This window comes from Homo sapiens, chromosome 18 (assembly GCF_000001405.40).
Source record: "Homo sapiens chromosome 18, GRCh38.p14 Primary Assembly".
Taxonomy (NCBI): domain Eukaryota; kingdom Metazoa; phylum Chordata; class Mammalia; order Primates; family Hominidae; genus Homo; species Homo sapiens.
The window spans coordinates 26,040,832-26,059,826 of record NC_000018.10 but is presented as its reverse complement, the minus strand read 5'-3'; the positions used below and the strand labels follow the sequence as shown (position 1 = coordinate 26,059,826).

At 35.7% G+C, this 18,995-nt stretch overlaps 1 protein-coding gene across 14 annotated transcripts in view; it reads left to right on the top strand.

Moving 5' to 3' along the window:
- The window catches only part of SS18 (SS18 subunit of BAF chromatin remodeling complex), a 74,967-nt gene that overhangs the window by 31,393 nt on the left and 24,579 nt on the right, over positions 1-18,995 (top strand). For all 14 annotated transcript variants that reach the window (XM_047437767.1, NM_001308201.2, XM_047437763.1 and 11 more), the window contains 2 exons: positions 2,085-2,238; positions 6,982-7,203. In XM_047437767.1, coding sequence (XP_047293723.1) covers positions 2,085-2,238; positions 6,982-7,203 — 376 coding nt within the window. The remainder of the gene's footprint in view (positions 1-2,084; positions 2,239-6,981; positions 7,204-18,995) is intronic.

Sequence of the window (18,995 nt, the reverse complement as noted above, 5' to 3'; positions counted from 1 at the left end):
AGAAAGCCTTGCAATTTTTAAGAGTGTTAGACCTTGTGGTTGAACAATTATAGAAGCTCTAGTTTGTGTTACTTTGCTCCAAAGAGAATTAAGTTTTCCTTTGGTATGTGAAGTACTAGGAGGTTACCTTGAATCTATTAAAGGTTGGTTATAAGACTTTTTAGGGCTGATCTATTTCAATTTCGACCTTACTCTTAAGGAGTAGCTGGCCCTTCTGTAGTCTCAACAGAGAGTTGGAGTTATTTATGAAGGCTCCTCTAACTTGGTGGGGCCTACACTCCAGTCTTTGTCTCCATATCAGTGAGCAGCAGCTGGAATCTCTGCTGAGCTCTTTAGCCTCCTACCTGCTATTTCGACTAGTTTTCTTGAATGTTTCCCCTCTTGTGGTCCTTTCTCTCTGGAAATTTATTCTTTAGTTTCCAGCTCTTTGATAGTCAAAAATTCTGACTCTTTTTTTTCCTTAGTCCAATTGGACTGCACTTTCTACTTGAGCTGTATTTCCCTGTTACTCAGCAAACTCAAGGAAAAAGCCAAGATAATTGTGGAGCTGGTCTTATATGCTTCCGTTCTTTCAGGAGTTGTAGCCCCTTCTGTTCCTCTTTGTGTAAGTCACTCTTTAGTGGCTTCAAACAGTTTTTACTTTTTGTCTAGATTTTATGAGTTTTATTTAGCTGAGGGTTAGTTTGATACAAGTTATTCTAGCATGGTGGTAACAGTAATGATGTTTTATTAGTTGAATTACAAGAAAATGACCTCACTATTAAGAGTGAGAACATGAATTTTTAACAGAAAATTTGGACAAGAATAGAGGAAGGAGGATTTCTGTTTTCAGACAGAAGAGGGTTAAGGTAGCCAGGTTTGAAGGATGATAAATAAGGATGATTAAAAGTTAGATAATATGACTCAAATTAGTGTTTTTTGTTTGTTTTTTTGTTTGTTTTGGTGAAAACTGAACAAGGTTTTTAAGTGTTTAAAGAATACAAGTTGGAGAAATAATATGAGAATTTAAGAGAAAATAAGAGCATTCATCTGGATTTAGTTGTGAAGAAATTAAAATTCTGATTTTAAAATGTGTGCTATTAGAGTAGACTTGTTTATTTCTGTAAATGTTAGTGATTATTAACTGTTTGGAGGTTTGAGTATTTAAATGTGATGGCCAAATAACAATGTGTATCTATTAAGTGTGCCAAAGAGAATTGTGTTCACAAAATGGAAAGGCATACAGTAACTGGCCATTTTTAAATGTAGGAGGAAGAGAACAACTGATAATACAGGAATGGACATTACATTTAGAACATCGAAGTAAAGAATAATGCCTCCCTCTCCTCCTACAAGATTAAAAATGGGGGATTGGAGCGAAACTAACCGTTTGCTTTCTCCACCAAAATATCCCTAAGAAGGGACCCAGGTGTGGCAGACCACCTCATATCTGTTTTTCCTTTTGCCCTTTTGTGAACTCTGAAGGTTAGTCAGTGGTTTTCTTCAAAATTGCATTAGGAAATTTGCCAAGGGCATCCTTTTGAGGCAGCTGTCTCTGTACCCTTGGAGGCCATCAGTAATGTTTCCAATCTATAGCAGTAGTCGGCACAAAAATGTTGAACTGTTGTCTTCATGTTTTAAAACATTCCTCTGCTGCCACTATCCTCCACCCCGAAATAGTGTAAAATATGGCACATTTTGGGACTTAGAGTCCTTTCATCATTTTTTGTTACTGTACATTTTTAGGTAAAATCCATCATTAATAAGTGTATCCAATACATCAATAATGAAAGGACATTTAATTTTTTTCACATAATTTAGATAATAATAGACACATTAGAAATGCTTAATATATAAATAAATGAGAATTTTTTGTATAGAATGTTAACATTTTAATTTTCACTACTGAGATTTTATAAAGTAAATATGCTTTAAAGTTTTGGGGGTTATTAACTATGTTCATGATGAAAATGCATTAGAAGAATTCGAAATGCATTTGTGTTTTTGTTCTTACTGCAATTTAGTAACATAAGCAACTCTTTTACCCTATGCATCTTTCGTATATTAGTCTGTTTCTCTTGTTTTACTAAACTGTCTTCTTTCAGCCACCCACACAGAATATGCCTATGGGTCCTGGAGGGATGAATCAGAGCGGCCCTCCCCCACCTCCACGCTCTCACAACATGCCTTCAGATGGAATGGTAGGTGGGGGTCCTCCTGCACCGCACATGCAGAACCAGATGAACGGCCAGATGCCTGGTAAGTTTTTCTCCTCTAAGACATTAACACCAGAGTTGCTTAGCAACTGAAACGACATGGGGGCTCAAGGGATACTAGATTGTTGATGACAAAACTGCTTTGAATGCCCCCGAGTACAAGCTCTCTTAGAGTTTGTTAGCTACAGAGCTACGTGACCTGTATTCAGTGTTTATCAGGCTGCCCTTGGGCTTTGATGTAGCTGACACACACCATTCCTCTGATGAACAGAACTGGCTAAATTTAGTCTGTCTGAAACTGCAATACAGTTGGCTTTAGAAGCTTTTTGGAAAAAAAGGCGTTGCACCATGGCTTAAGAATTAAAGTCTGTTTAAAAAAGATATTATAACATTTCCCTGAGTTTTTATTTACTTAAATATTGATTGATCTCAGAAACAGTATCACTGGGAAAAACACATGGGGAAAGAAAACAGTCTCTGAAGTGCTGGTGTATTTAGTATTTCCTTATTGATATTGAAGCTGAATCTAAATTTTTTTAATACATAGGTTTATAGCATAACATAAATATTGGAATTGATTTTAAAGCAAAAATTAAAGGCTGAAAAATAATGTAAACTTCCTTACATTATTTATACACTGAGCCATTCTCTTTTCTATTTGTCAATTTTAAGTGTAGGGTCACTAGGTTGATATGTTTTAAGACATTGGATGCTGATTTAGTTACCTTTGGCTGGTTTGAAATTTTAATCATACAAGTATCTTTACACTATTTTGTTTTTGTAACAGTAGCATCAACCCATGGCCGTAATTTTTGGTAGAATATTATCTACATTAGGTATCAGAATATTTTTACCTTCTAAGACAAAAGTTATTTTCATTGATAAAGAAGACATTATACAACTAGCAGTAATGGAAATAAAATAACAGAACAATTATTAAAATTAGTAATTGGCATCTTTAGGATACTGTTTTCTGTAGCCGATTGTGTTGATTGATAGCATTGGTGTCCAAGGATGATGGGTGCAGTAAGGAAACAAGAGAGCACAGAGCAAAAGAGGTAAGGTAGCCTGGCTTATAGAAGATTGAGGTGTGACTGATCATATAGGAGGGCAGTGGTGTTTCAGTGGCTGTCTCCTATTTCCTGCTAAGGCTTGCAACATATATGGCACACATCCAGTATGGAGGTAGGAATAAAGACATCACTGCTTTTCAGTTTGTAGTCATATTGTAGTCAAGAGAAAGCTTCTTGCCAAGTCCACATTTAGTTCACCAGGACACACTGTTTTTAGAACTGGAAAGGTAGTGATAGTGCAGGTTAGCTAGTTAGGAGTTTTGTGACTTTTTATGATGGTACTTTGAATTAGGATTTTGACTTAAATTCTCTGTGTAACATTGAAGCCTAAGGCCAAAGAAGCATTTGAGCAGCAGTACAGTTATGGTTAACATGACATTTTGGTTTTGTGTAAGGCCTTCTGAAGTATATTCTTTTATAAGCTAGTTATTATCAACCACTTATGACCTGGGTTGTTCAGAATACTATAGAGCTTCCGAAACAATAGTTAAGAATTTCTCCAGGCCAGGCGCGGTGGCTCACGCCTGTAATCCCAGCACTTTGGGAGGCCAAGGCGGGTGGATCACGAGGTCAAGAGATTGAGACCATCCTGGCCAACATGATGAAATCCCGTCTCTACTAAAAATACAAAAAATTAGCTGGACGTGGTATTGCACGTCTGTAATCCCAGCTACTCAGGAGGCTGAGGCAGGAGAATCACTTGAACCCAGGAGGCGGAGGTTGCAGTGAGCCGAAATCACGCCACTGCACCCCAGCCTGGCGACAGAGTGAGACTCCATCAAAAAAAAAAAACAAAAAAAAAAAAAACAGAAAGAATTTCTCCTAACAATAGTTACGGAGTTACAGTTAAGTGTAGGAGAAATTGGAAGGCCAGTAACTTATATTTTCTTTATTTGTTCCTTATAGCATTTAGCCAACCTGTTTATGCACACAAATTTGCATCTTGGCTGTTTCCTATTTCAGTTTGGTTTTTAATGTATATTTCATTATGTAGACTCAGTTTTAGAGCTACTTATGTTCTCATTGATCTGGGTCAAATCACTACTCAGTCTCAGGTTCCCTTTTTTAAAAATTACTATTTTTTTCTTTTTGAGACAGAGTTTTGCTCTTGTCGCCTAGGTTGGGGTGCAGTGGCACAATCTCGGCTCACTGCAACCTCTGCCTCCCGGGTTCAAGCGATTCTCCTGCCTCATCCTCCCGAGTAGCTGGGATTACAGGCGCACACCACCACACCTGGCTAATTTTCGTATTTTTAATAGAGATGGGGTTTCACCATGTTGGCCAGGCTGGTCTCAAATTCCTGACATCAGGTGATCCACCCGCTTCAGCCTCCCAAAGTGCTGGGATTGCAGGCATGAGCCACCGAGTCCAGCCTAAAAAATTAATTGATTTTTTAAAAGCTAGGTAATACATGCCTATGGGACCAAAATCAAAGGATACCAAAGGATGCCTAGCCGCCACCTCTCCAGACAGTTCTAGAGAGGCATTGGTTTCTAGTTGTCCTTCAAGAGATATTCTCTCGCTGGGCATGGTGGCTCAAGCCTGTAATCCCAGCACTTTGGGAGGCTGAGGTGGGTGGATCAGTTGAGGTCAGGAGTTCAAGACCAGCCTGACCAGTGAGGTTAAACCTCATCTCTACTAAAAATACAAAATTAGCTGGCGTGGTGGCACACACTTGTAATCCCAGCTACTTGGGAAGCTGAGACAGGAGAATCGCTTGAACCCGGGAAGTGGAGGTTGCAGTAAACCAAGATTGCACCATTGCACTCTAGCCTGGGCAACAAGAATGAGACTCCGTCTCAAAAAAAAAAAAAAGAGAGAGAGATTTTCTCTATATAAAATAATGCATGTGTATTTCCTTTATTTTTACTCTTTTTTTTTAAAGTACAAATGATAGCACTCATTAAATACTATTATGTATCTTTTCTTTCTCAAAGATATATCTTGGAGACCATTATTTTATTCCATATGTAAATAGATGCCTTATTCTTTTTGGTCTCTATCATGTTCTTTTTTACAAGTTTAATTTATTCGAACATTTAGGATGGAAACATAGGCTTCTAGTCTTTTGTTATTATGAATTATACTGTCATGAATTTGCTGTAAAAATATATATACACATATATATGTGTTCTGTGTGTCAATACGCATGCACACAAAAATTTGTATATCTCTAGCATAAATTCCTGGAACTGAAATTGCTGGGTTAAAGGTATATATATTTTAAAATTTGACAGTTAGTGCCAAATTGCTTTGTGTAAAAATAGTAATATCCATCAGTTCTGCATTTATGAATTTCACATCCATGGATTTAACCAACAGTGGATTGAAAATACTTGGAAAAACAAATTGTGACTGTATTGAACATGTACATACTTTTTTTTTCTTGTCATTATTCCCTAAACAACACAGTATAGTGACTATGTACATAGCATTTACATTGTGTTAGGCAGTACATGTAATGTAGAGATGATTTAAAGTATATGAGAGGATGTACATAGGTTATGTGGAAATACTGTGTCATTTTATGTCAGGGACATGAGCATTTACGGATTTTGAAATCTGTGGGTGGTTCTGGAACCAATCTCCCACAGATACTGAGGGACAACTACTTTATTTGAATTGTTGTTTGTCATCACAAATTTCCTCAAGCTTGATCCCACCCTTGATTCCACAAGCTTGATTCCCCATGAAATATAAGTAAGATTTCTGTTCCTTCAACAATGGATGAAAGTGCTTCTTTCTTCACAATATAGTTAGATCGAACTTTTGATTTTTGAGAATCTGAGAGGTGAAAGTTCGGTCTCATAGTTTTAATTTGCCTTCCTATTTTAAGTGAAGCAATCAATCTTTTAATGTTGATGAACCTTTTTGTAGTTTTTGTGTGAACTAGTCATTCCCTCATTATGTCCTTTGCCCATTCTTTTACTGGTGGTGGTCTTTTACTTACTTCATATGTTAAGTAATTAATTTGGTCTGGGTCTGCGATCTATCTTATAAATAATATTTTCTTATTTACCTTTTTATTATTTAATTTTGAGTTTTTTATGTCGTGCAAATTTTTAAATTTTGTATAGTCTAATTTATCAATGTTTTATGGCTCAGGGTTTTCTGGCATACTTAAGAAGGTCCTTCCATTATTATTTTTAAAATTCTCCTTTTTGAAATTCTTTTATGGTTTCTTCTTTTTAAATGTTTAAGTTTTCTATTCATCTAGAATTAGTTAGTGGAACAAATGAGATAGTGATCCAACTTGTTTTTTCCAGATGGCTCCCCAGTTGTCACAATACCATTTACTGAATTAGTTTTCTATTGCTCACTAATACTTAATATTACTGTGATTATTTACTCAGCTATGTATTTGGGTCTACTTTTAGACTCTGTTCTGTTCAATCGATCTGTTAGTCTATTCATTTATGTTCATAGTTAATTACTCCAACCTTATGATATGTTTTGCTCTTTTATGAAGAAGCTAGTCCTTCCTTCTTTTTCAGAGTGCTCCTGACTTCAAAAGCATCAATTTCTTAATCCAAAAATGGGAATAACTACTTCACAGTATTTGCTGTCTTTTCCTATAAACCATTTACTTTGCTATCGATTAATTATTGTTTGGTATTACTATAATAATGCAAAAAAAAAATTATTTCCAGGTACTTTTGTATGGACCATCTGTTTAACTTTCATATTTTGCTTCTGATCATTTTTCTTCAAAGGGCCTAACCATATGCCTATGCAGGGACCTGGACCCAATCAACTCAATATGACAAACAGTTCCATGAATATGCCTTCAAGTAGCCATGGATCCATGGGAGGTTACAACCATTCTGTGCCATCATCACAGAGCATGCCAGTACAGAATCAGATGACAATGAGTCAGGGACAACCAATGGGAAACTATGGTCCCAGACCAAATATGAGTATGCAGCCAAACCAAGGTAACTAAGCTTTATGTCCTTCTTGACTAGAGTGCTCTATTAGCCTTTGAAAAGTAAAATGATTGTTGTCAGGTTCTTAGCTGGTTCATAAAAATAAAAGTTTAAAGTGAGTGACAGTCATGCCCATAAAAAGGAGATGTTGAGTTTGAAGCTAGTTTAAATCTCTTTGCTCAATGTAGCTTTTTAAGCTTATTTATTTTTATGTCTTTTGGACAGTTTGTTTGAGGTTCTGTATTGTTGAGAATTGTTTTTTAAAGCCAGTCAATGAAGAACCAAACATTTGGTTTAGCTAGAAAGTTGAGAAAATAAACACCTGCTCCTTCATTTTACTTATTAAGGATGTATTAATTTATATGAATTCCCCTTGATTTATATGGATGTTTTCTGATGCTGTGTTTCAGCATTAAAAGGTAATTCTAAAATAATTTGCCATTAGAATGTTCAGTGGAGGTGCTGCTGTACTTGTCTTAGAGTGGTGTAAGTCCATTAAAGTTTATTACCAATCTCAGAATGAAATTGTACCATGTTTCTCTTTTAAGTATTCTGTGAATAATAACTAAAAGCCAGTAAGTGGCGCTCTGTTCTGCTAATTGACTGTTAAAACATTTGGCTTATTTCCAGGTTAATGCTATTTCAGTTACAAAATGTAATGAAGTTAAGACTGTAAGATAGAATTAAATGTATTTGGAATAAAATTTTCTAGATTTTGATTTATAAAATAAACAGAGCACTAAAATGTACCCAGATAAAAGAAGTTAGTGTTAATCTGTTGATAATTCCTTATGATGAAATAATATAATTTTAAAATAATACAGATTTTTAATAATTTTCATGAGATATACTGAAAGCAAAAGGAGATAATAGAAAAAATTGCCAATCATTGTAGCTTCACAAAACTGGCACTTGCTACATTTTTTTCCCCCAAAGTTACTTAATGCTTATGGTAGAATTATTTTTTTGTTTTTATTAGGTCAATTAAAAGTCCAAACAACAGCAAGATCCAGTCAGTGCTAGATCAGAAGGGAGTTCATGTGTTTCTCTATACAGTTTGGTTACCAGGAGAGAGAACAGGAAAATTGATGATTCTGACAGCAACTCCATTAATGATGGCACACTTCTTAACTTCTTAGAAACCTATAGTTAAGAAAAGGTATGGTGTGCACAAAAAATGGATGTTGCTGCAGCATGGTTTGATATGACATAATAAGATTCGAAGAAAAAAATAATGCATATAGCAATGTGCATATTGACTTTTTGGAGAAAAGTATTGAGGTGTTTTTAGAAATTTTTTGTTCTTAGGGACCAACTTTTATTTTTAAAAATGTCGTATTTTGTAAGTATGTGTAGGTCTTCCTTTTACTATAGTACAGTAGTTATATCACTTTTTGCCTTGTTCTCATAGTTATAAATTTCTTCTTTTTTATTTTTATTTTTTGTATTTTGTTAAAAGAATAGAAACAATGTCTTGGTATGTTGCCCAGGCTGGTCTTGAACACCTGGGCTTAAGTGATCACCTGCCTTGGCCTCCCAAAGTCCTGGGATTACAGGCATGAGCCACTGCACCTGGTCAGTTTATGAACTTCTTAATAGAAAATAGGCTGTACAGAAATGACCAGGTAGAGATCTGAAGAGATTAAAGACAATTTTCAAAAAGAAAATATGGTTAAAATCATTGAGGAAATTTTTATTTGTTTATTTATTTATTTATTTATTTTGAGACGGCGTCTGGCTCTGTTGCCCAGGCTGGAGTGCAGTGGCACAATCTCTGCTCTCTGCAAGCTCCGCCTCCCGGGTTCACACCATTCTCCTGCCTCAGCCTCCCAAGTAGCTGGGAGTACAGGCACCCACCACTACGCCCGGCTAATTTTTTTTTTGTATTTTTAGTAGAGACAGGGTTTCACCGGAAATCTTTATTGTTTTAAAAATCTCTTTAGGACAAATAAAAAACTTCATTTAAATTTTGATATTTCAGAATCAAAAGAACACAAAATTACAGTTACCAAAAAAGAAAGTTATACAGTGTTCTGGCAGCACCTAGTTTTTTAATCATATGAGTTTCTTATAAAAGCATTTTAATTATATGTTACCTTTTAATAAAGAAGTTCATGGTGAGTTTTATTAATGAATTTTTTTACTAGATGCTAGAGGATGATTGAAGAGTTTTATTAATGAAGTTTTAATATTCATTTCATTATAAAACATTTTCTTAGTTTTTATAAAAATAAGCTGCATATTTTACATTGAAAGTTTTTCTGTTTATTATTATTTATTTTTATTTGTTTTAATTCAGCAACTAAGCTAGTATTGCAAAATGTTTTTCTCTGTGTTCTCTTAGAGGGTCTATTGCTTCCAGGTGAGCACTTTAGCACAAATTTTTTTTTTTTTTTGAGGTGGAGTCTCACTTTTTGTCGCCCAGGCTGGAGTGCAGAAGTGCAGTCTCGGCTCACTGCTGCTTCCGCCTCCTGGGTTCAAGCAATTCTTCTGCCTCAGCCTTCCTAGGGGCTGGGATGACAGGTGCCTGCCATCACGCCCAGCTAATTTTTGTATTTTAGTAGAGACATGTTGGCCAGGTTGGTCTTGAACTCCTGACCTCAAGCCATCCATCCACCTCAGCCTCCCGAAGTGTTGGGATTACAGGCGCAAGCCACTGCGCTGGGCCCAATTTTTATGTTAATTTGTTTCTTAAACTGCTGGCAAAATGTTGCTTAAGTATAATAGTCAATCCAACATATATTTTCCCATGTTATTGTCACTGTTACCCAGATAAAGTTTATTTTTTTGTCATTTTGAACCTTAAGAGAAAGATCTGGCTGGGCGTTGGTGCCCTTGCTTGTAACCTCAACACTTTGGGAGGCTGAAATGGGAGGATCACTTGACCCCAGGAGTTGAAGACCAGCCTGGGCAAGATGGCAAGACTTGCATTTTTTACAAAAAGAAATGTGAAAATTAGCTGGGCGTGGTAGCTTGTGCCTGCAGTCCCAGCTACTTGGAGGTGGAGGCAGGAGGTTCACTTGAGCACAGGACTTCGAGGCTGTAGTGAGTTTGCTGGTGTCACTGCACTCCAGCTTGGGTGACAGAGCAAGACCGTCTCTAAAAAAACAAAAAGAGTAACTCCAGTTTTCAGAGTAAACCACCATCTTCCTACATAAACTTATTTGCATATAGAGCATAAACTTCACTAGAATTCAACAAGCTCTATAAAAGCAGGAAGTGTGTTCTCTGCTGTATCCCAGGTGCCTAGAAAAATGCCTGAGGATGGACACACAAAATCTTATTTATTTCTTTCATTTCTTCAGTAAAAAGCAAGTGTTATATGATCACCTGTCTGAAAAATGTTTATTTAATCAACAAGTACATTCAGTGTATGAAAAGGCAAATTGTGTAGAAGGGATTTCTGAAGATGTTATATTGGACAGATACCTGTGTATTTTTCATTATCAGGCATTAGTAATTATAGCTTTCCACATTTAACAGAATTTTACTAATTATATATTCAAATATAAAGAATTTTACAAATTGCAGTGCTTGTGTTAAAGAATATGTTTTGTAAGTTCCATGTGTGTAATTCTTCAGATTTGGATATGTCTTGGCCCCCTGTAGCTTACTGTATGTGGGACCTTTGACTAAATTACTTAATTTCTCTAAGTAAGATTAAGTGAAATGATGCATGTAAAAATCCTGACTTGGTAATCATTTGCATAATTTTTATAAAATCAGTTGGCTAATCATCAAGCTTTTTTAAAAAGGTGAACACAAAAACATTTGAGATTGGTTTATCAGCTACTGTCTTATTTTAGCCACAGCATCTAATTTATTTCTGGGTGTTTTAATAGTATTAAGAAAGTGTTGATTCACGTGGCTAAGTTGCAAATGACAATATCTTCAAAACACTGTGCTTTCTGTCAGTGTACTCTTTGGTTAGACTGACCCAGAGGCTTGACATGAAAGTAGAAGGAGATTTTTCTTTCAGTACCTAAACTGTTCACATTCGTTATATAAGTATGAAGGGCAAAGAGCATGTATTGCCACAGCTGAGATTGTTTTCTCTTATTATTATCTTATTATCTCTTACTATTACACAATGGATTATTAAGAGATAGACGAAAAGGAGGTGCTTGAGATAGGCCTAGCATTTACTTTTACATATGTATTTTTACATGGTAGTTTATTTCCTTTACCTCCGCTATTCGTATATATAGATCTTTCTCATTTTTTAAATGGCAACATTCTTTGTATGGATGTATTATAATACAACAAAGCCATTTTCACTTTTGATAGATGTGTCTAGTCTTTTACAAATACTTCTGGAAAAAATGTCTTTGTAGCTATGTCTTTGATTACTTGTACAAGATTTTTGTAGGATAAATTCTAGAAATAGAATTATTAAAATATATGAATACTTGAACTACTTGAGAGACATTGCCAAATTGTTTTCAATAAAGGTTGCATGAGGCCACATTCACATTCCTACAGCATATAAAATGCTTACTTTACTACATACCCAGTGACAGTCTTCCTATTTGCTAAATATATAGCGGAAAACTGTAAACTTAATTTCTTCAATTATTAGTCAGGTTGCATAACTTTGTATGTTTATTTGCTGTTTGCATGTTTTCTATGAATTGCCTGTTCATGTCATATATTCTGTGGTTTGTCTGTTATTGAAGGAGTTGTTTATAGGTTAAGTCTGTTTGCCTTATGTGAATTTCACATGTAAAAACATTTTGTTAGTTTTAAGAGGTAGGAATTTAACCTTTATTTGTTGTTGTTTTTTGAGACGGAGTCTCACTCTGTCGCCTCACTCTGAGGCTGGAGTGCAGTGGCATGATCTCGGTTCACTGCAAGCTCTGCCTCCTGGGTTCATGCCATTCTCCTGCCTCAGTGTCCCAGGTAGCTGGGACTACAGGTGCCCGCCACCATGCCCGGCTAATTTTTTTTGTATTTTTGGTAGAGACGGGGTTTCACCGTGTTAGCCAGGATGGTCTCAATCTCCTGACCTTGTGATCTGCCCGCCTTGGCCTCCCAAAGTGCTGGGATTACAGACAGGCATGAGCCACCACGCCCGGCTGGAATTTAACTTTTTAAAATAGTTTGTTTTAGTGATAGGATTCTGAAATGGTAATATTCATGAAAAAATGTGATTTTTCCCAATTATATCAGAACTTTGACCCAGCATTTGCTAAGTTATGGTATTAATAGATTTACTAATTACTAGTAAAATACTTTGGAAGGTTCAGCATGCTTATTAGACTATTAAAAGGCCTGAGAAGATTTTTATTAAAGAAACTGATTTGATTTCAGTTAACATGAGTATATTACCATGGAGCTTTTCTTCTTCTTCTTTTTTTTTTTTTTTTTTTTTTTGGCATATTACTTTCCAAAGGTAACAGCTAATATTCAGTAAGTACCTGTTAGTGCCAGGCGCTAACAGAAACAAAACTATCAAAATCCTTTGCATGTCTTCTTTAATTCTCACATCCTTGAGGTAGTAGGTAAGGTACTATTACTATCATTCTGTGCATGAGGAAACAGACATCCTATGGAAATACAGGCAGGCCTTGCTGTATGCAATTCTGATATACATGAATATCAGTTACTGCAGTTAAGCTAAATAACACCTGTTCCCCCAGCACCACCATTTGAATTTCAGTTACCATAGCACATTAAGAGTAATTGTATAAAGTATGAACTCTTAGCTGCTCTTTCTTCAGTCTACAAATCACTACATAAATAACAGATGCCTGTCATGATAAGTGATGGATGTTACTTTTAGATTTTGTCAGTGATTGGTCACTGTGCATCTGTCAGTTCATGCACATACAGCAAAGCTTGTTGTTGTGTTGCTTCCTTGGCTCCCAGCAGTAAACCTATATGAGATTTTACAAACCTGGATAATTGAAAGAGGGACTTGGCCAACATAGATAAAAGTGCAACAAAGAAATGAAAAATGATAATGCTAGAAATGAAACCCAAATTCAGTGTAAATGGAGTACTGAAGAAATTGCTGACTGTGGAAATGCTGACATTGCTGCCATTTCAGAGAATCTGGATATGCACTGCAGGTGCTTAAAGAAGGAGAACTCATTGATACAAATGAGAGAAGTAGTTGTGATGAAAAGGATGAAAATGTCCCAGAGGAAGCAAGACTGGCAAAATATTTCACATTAAAGAAATTCTTGGAAATATTTCACAACTTTGAAAGTGTAAAGGATAAAATGTTGGATGCCAATCCAAACTTAGAAAGGAGTGTGACAATTTGCTAAGCCGTGGAAAAGAGACTTACTCTAAATCGTCATATATACCATTAGGAGAAGGGAACTACTTTTTAAATTATTCTTGACAGGATTTTTACAAAGAAGTGAAACACTTTAATTCTCAGTGTTTCTTTTTTTTTCCTTTTTTTTTCTACTTCTTTTTTTTTTTTTTTTTTTTGAGACGGAGTCTTCCTCTGTCACCCAGGCTGGAGTGCAGTGGTGCAATCTTGGCTCATTGCAACCTCCACTTCCCAGGTTCAAGTGTTTCGATTCTCCTGCCTCAGCTTCCCGAGTAGCTGGGATTACAGGCACATGCTACCATGTCCAGCACATTTTTATATTTTTAGTAGAGATGGGGTTTCACTATATTGGCCAGGCTGGTCTTGAACTCCTGACCTCAAGTGATCCACCCACCTAGGCCTCCCAAAGTACTGGGAGTACATACAGGCGTGAGCCACTGCATCTGGCCAATTCTCAATGTTTCTAATGTTTAAAATTACAGTGAATTAAATATTTTCTCATTTCCCTATGTATTTTTAACTGACAGTAATAGAGTTTTCAGTGTTTTGACCAAAATTTTAAAGGCCATGGAATAATTATGATTTTTTTCCCTACTGATTATTAAGATCGTTTTGCATGATTTCTGCTTGCATGGTCATTGATATGGTCTGATCCTACTATGCAAAGTGAACACTATAAGGTTTTATAGACACTTTGGGAAATGCTAGTAAGTTCCTAACAATATGAATGTTATAAGGTTAAAAGCTACTCATTTATCTTAAGGATTCAGATACAAATATGTCAGATGATATGTGTTATGAAGAGAAATATGCAAAGTAAAAGGAAAAAGAAAAATAAGCATGTATGCCATTTTAGGGTGGTGAGCAGATACCTAGAAAAAGAATGTGGCACAGGCAGATGGAACAGCAAGTATGCACTGGAGCATACTTGGTGTGTTTGAAGTATAGCAAGGAGACCCGTCGAACTGGAGCGGAGTGAGTGAAAGTGGGAAGTCATAAGAAATAAGGTCCAAGAGATAGTTGAAGGCTAGGCCTTGAAAGTCTTTCAGTCCATAAGGATTTTAGATTTTATTCTGTGGAAGGAGATATACTGCTGGAAAGTTTTGAGCACTGGAATAACATGATCTGAATATATGGTTTTCAAAAAATGCCTTTGGGCAGCTATATAGAAAATGGGCTGTAATTGGGCAAGGGTGAAATAGGGAGACCTGTTAAGAGGCTCTTGTTGTATTTAAGAGATGATCGTGGCTTTAAATAGTATGATAGCTATGGAGGTAATCAGAAGTAGTCAATTGTGGGATATTTACCATGTATTTTGAAGGTAGAGCGGATTTGCTGACTGATCAAATGTGGAGGACAAATGCAAAGTTTGTGTTGTCCTCTCCTTGAACAGTCACTATGTGTTGTGTTCCTCTCACAGATGTGTGATAATACACACAGGGTATATTGCTGACCAGGGGAGTTTCCCTTAGCCTTAGTGTTCAGAGTTTTTATTGGGACTGTATTATGTAGATTTGATTAATCGCTTGTCCATGTGGTTGATCTCAGTCTCCAATCTCGATCCTTTACCCCCCTGCTTGGCCCAAAACCCCCATCCAGGATGAAAGGAGCTACAGGAAATCCCAATTAAGTAAATTTACTAAATTTTTCTGATTTTTTTCTGATTTTAGTAATCAGTAAATATTTCTGATTATTAAAATAACTGATGTTAAATTTGAAAAATCTTGGCCAGGTGTGGTGGCTCATGCTTGTAATCCCAGCACTTTGGGATGCCGAGGTGGGTGGATCACCTGAGGTCAGGAGTTTGAGACCAACCTGGCCAACATAATGAAACCCTGTCTCTACTAAAAATACAAAAATTAGCCGGACGTGGTGGTGTGCAACTGCAGTCTCAGCTTCTCGGGTGGCTGAGGCAGGAGAATCGCTTGAACCTGGGAGGCGGAGGTTGCAGTCAGCCGAGATTGTACCATGCACTCCAGCCTGGGTGACAGAGCAAGACTCCGTCTCAAAAAAAAAAAAAATCTAAAAAAATATGAAAAGCATACAACATAAAATAAAAAACACGTCTTACTTCACTATATTTTAAATTATTAGGCAAATTCACTTAAGTATAGTAGCCTATACTTAGAATCCTTTAAGCAGTACTACTTATAATTACATAATTTTAAAAAATATGTGTTTAATTATTTTTCTTTAGACTCTGAGTTCTATGAAGTGAAGAACTGTGTCTTATTCTGTTCACTGCTTTATCCTATTTGTTGACTGATTAGCTAGATAGGTATCCTCTTGCTGTAAGTGTCCCCTGAGGGACAAAACTGCCCACAGTTGAGAATAACCAGCTTGAAGAAATGGTTAGTATGAATAACTGTGTGTAAAGATGGTCTGTGTCACTAAAGAAACAAATGACAATAACAAAATTGTTATTGATATTATTTTTAATACCTTTTAAAACTTTTATGAGATTTTTTCTAAAGTTCTAATGTTATGAAAGATTTTGTATCTTTTAATGAGCTGTTGTTCTCTTTACTTGCTAGAATCATGTTTCCATTTTTTCATTGGTTGCTGGAAACTCAGCTAAATTTGTGCTTGGCTGCAGTGACCTTACTGAACTGGGCTAGTCATCCTACATTTTCTTACTTGCTCTTGTTCTTTTATCCTTGATATTGTATCTAAACATCTTATTAACTACTAAAAATTCTTGATGTGGACAGGTGTATAATTTAGGTAAGTAAAGAATCCTATTCTTTTTAAGCAGCTATTTAAGCAGATAGTAAGTTAGCTAATTGAGTTTTTTGGAATACAGGGATTCTTGCAAATAAATTATTAGAAATAACTCCAAATAAGAGCTATAATTGGGTTAGAGATTAAATGGTTAAGGAACAAATAGTAAAATGTAAGCAGTAAATGATGAAATATGAATGTGAAAATAGGCCTGAGGAGGGTATTATCTATGGAGTTTCATGGTCTTAAGATAGGTGGGGTGAAGAAATTTCTTATATTTTAAGGTTTTTATATTACAGTGATAGAGATATATTATACAGAACTCTTTTCATGGGAGATAGTGGCATGGGAAAAGTACAATTTGAATTTGGAGAGGAAGTACACATAGTGATTAAGAGCACGGGCTTTGGACCATTTAGTAGCTATGCTACTTTAGAGCCTTTCGTAGCAGTACAGCTTTGGGTAAGGTCCTTGATGTTTGTGAGCCTTAAAATGTTGTTGTCTGTGAAGAAGTCGATAATAATACTACCCGTTTCATAGGGCTTTGGGGAAGAGAAATAATACAGGTAAAGCTATTAGCTTAGTGCCTGGCTAATAATAAGTGTTCATTAAATGTTAGCTGTCATTTTAAACAATATTATTTAAAATAATTTGTAGATTAATGATACAATTTTTATAAAATTTTAGTGTATTGGTTTGTATCTGAGGATGTGAAATACATGTGTATATGTATGAATGTTCTATATATATAGAATATTTGTAAAATTACATTATTCAGAATTGACAGATTAAAACAATGTTTTCCTTATAGTTAAGTATTTAAAAATTATTTTTTTCAGTCTACCTAATTGTGTGTCACTATAGACAGTGACAGTGCTCATCACATCTCTATATTACCATGGCTCCTAGCCTGGGGTGTTGTACCTAATAAGTACTCAATAAATTTGATCCTTGACTTACTCTTCAAAAGAAAATTCTTTTTTTTTTTTTTTGACCACTGACTTAAGATAAAATTAAGTATTAACCATCTCATTGGAGAAAAGAATGCCAATAATATAAAATATGGTAATTTGGGAGGTTTTTACATGTGTTTAAAATAAAGGATGTTATTTTCATAGAATATCTATTAGAATATAAAACTCAAAATGGGAAGAAATAATGTGCTAATGATAAGTGTTTGTTATATGCCCTTGCAAAACACTTGCAAAAATATATTCTAGGTAATTAAGACATCAGTAGGGTCTTTGCATATGTATTATCACGCTTTGTAGTGCGTCTTAACATCAAAATTGTTTATGTAAAAGATGAAGAATAACCTTAAAGTCTGTAGTAATGTATGATACCATTGTTTGCAGAAAATGGTTGTAGAAGATGCATTTTATAATGCTATTTCACTCTGCAGTACAAATTTTTAGAACATATTTTGGGGTAACCTTTTGAGTTTGCTTCTCTTAGTTTCATTAGTATCTCAAGAGATAATATACATTGCCAGTGTAGCATAATTTCATTATCCTAAGAAGGAAAATAATATACTTCCTAAACAATCAGAATTGAAGTCATAGTCATAATTTTTTTTTTCTTTAATGGATAAGGCTTCGAGGAAAATTATGAAATGTATTGTGCTTTAGTAGTGTTAGCTGACTGCATTCTCTCTGTGGTTTAGGCTTGATCATGAATGATGTTGGGATCCTCTGAGGGAGAGAAGTGACAGTAAAAGAAGGGTAGTAATTGAGCTCTTTGGGATTGGAACTGCTCACAGTCCCAAAAGATAAAGCACAAGTGGCATGGTCTTTTCTATCTAGGGCTTAAGCTACAATTACTTTGCTTTCCTTTAGAGCAAGGTTTAGTGTTTTGTTATGTATCTTTTTGGATTTTTTTTTCTTTTGGCTATTGTGGTTTTGCTTTCTTTTTGTTTCTAATATTATAGGTTTTAGTTATATAGTTACCTTCTGTTAAGACAAGAGGTCTTTAGACAGTGTTGGAGAAGAAAAGGCAAAACCTTCATTTACTGAAAATGAATTACATAAATGTCCGATCAGGTTACCTATTAAATTATGAATGTTAGTGTTTAATAGTTTAGTATATGCAACATATATTTGAAAATTATAACTGCTATTAAACTAGTGTTTTGGAACTTTTTTGTTGCAAATTATTTGCTTCGGAACTACTGAATTTGTTTCGTGTTTTGTTTTGTTTTGGTTTTTGAGGCAGAGTTTCACACTTGTCGCCCAGGCTGGGGTGCAGTTACATGATCTCAGCTTACTGCAACCTCTGCCTCCCGGGTTCAAGTGATTCTCCTGCCTCAGCCTCCCCAATAGCTGGGATTACAGGTGTGCACCACCATGCCTGGCTAATTTTTGTACATTTTAGTAGAGTTGGGGTTTCACCATGTTGGCCAGGCTGGTCTCGAACTCCTGACCTCAGGTGATCCACCCACCTTAGCCTCCCAAAGTGCTGGGATTACAGGTGTGAGCCACCACTCCTGGCTTACGAATTTGTTATAGCTTATGTTTTAATAGAGGCAATGAAAAATAGAACAAACATGTGCTTCAAAATAAAATTTGAGGTTTGTCTTATTCTCAGTTTTTATCTATTAGCTGTGTAATCTTGATTTTTAGATTCCTTGGCTAAAAAAATTGAGAATTAGGGTCCTTACCTCTGGTAATTGTTAGGAGTTTGTAGGAAATGACTGTGAAACCATGTAACTGGCAGTGTTGTAGGGTACCTTCAGTATTAAGTTCTCTTCGCCTCTACTCTCACCCAGCCAGTTTGTCTCTACTAAGACTGTATTTCCTTG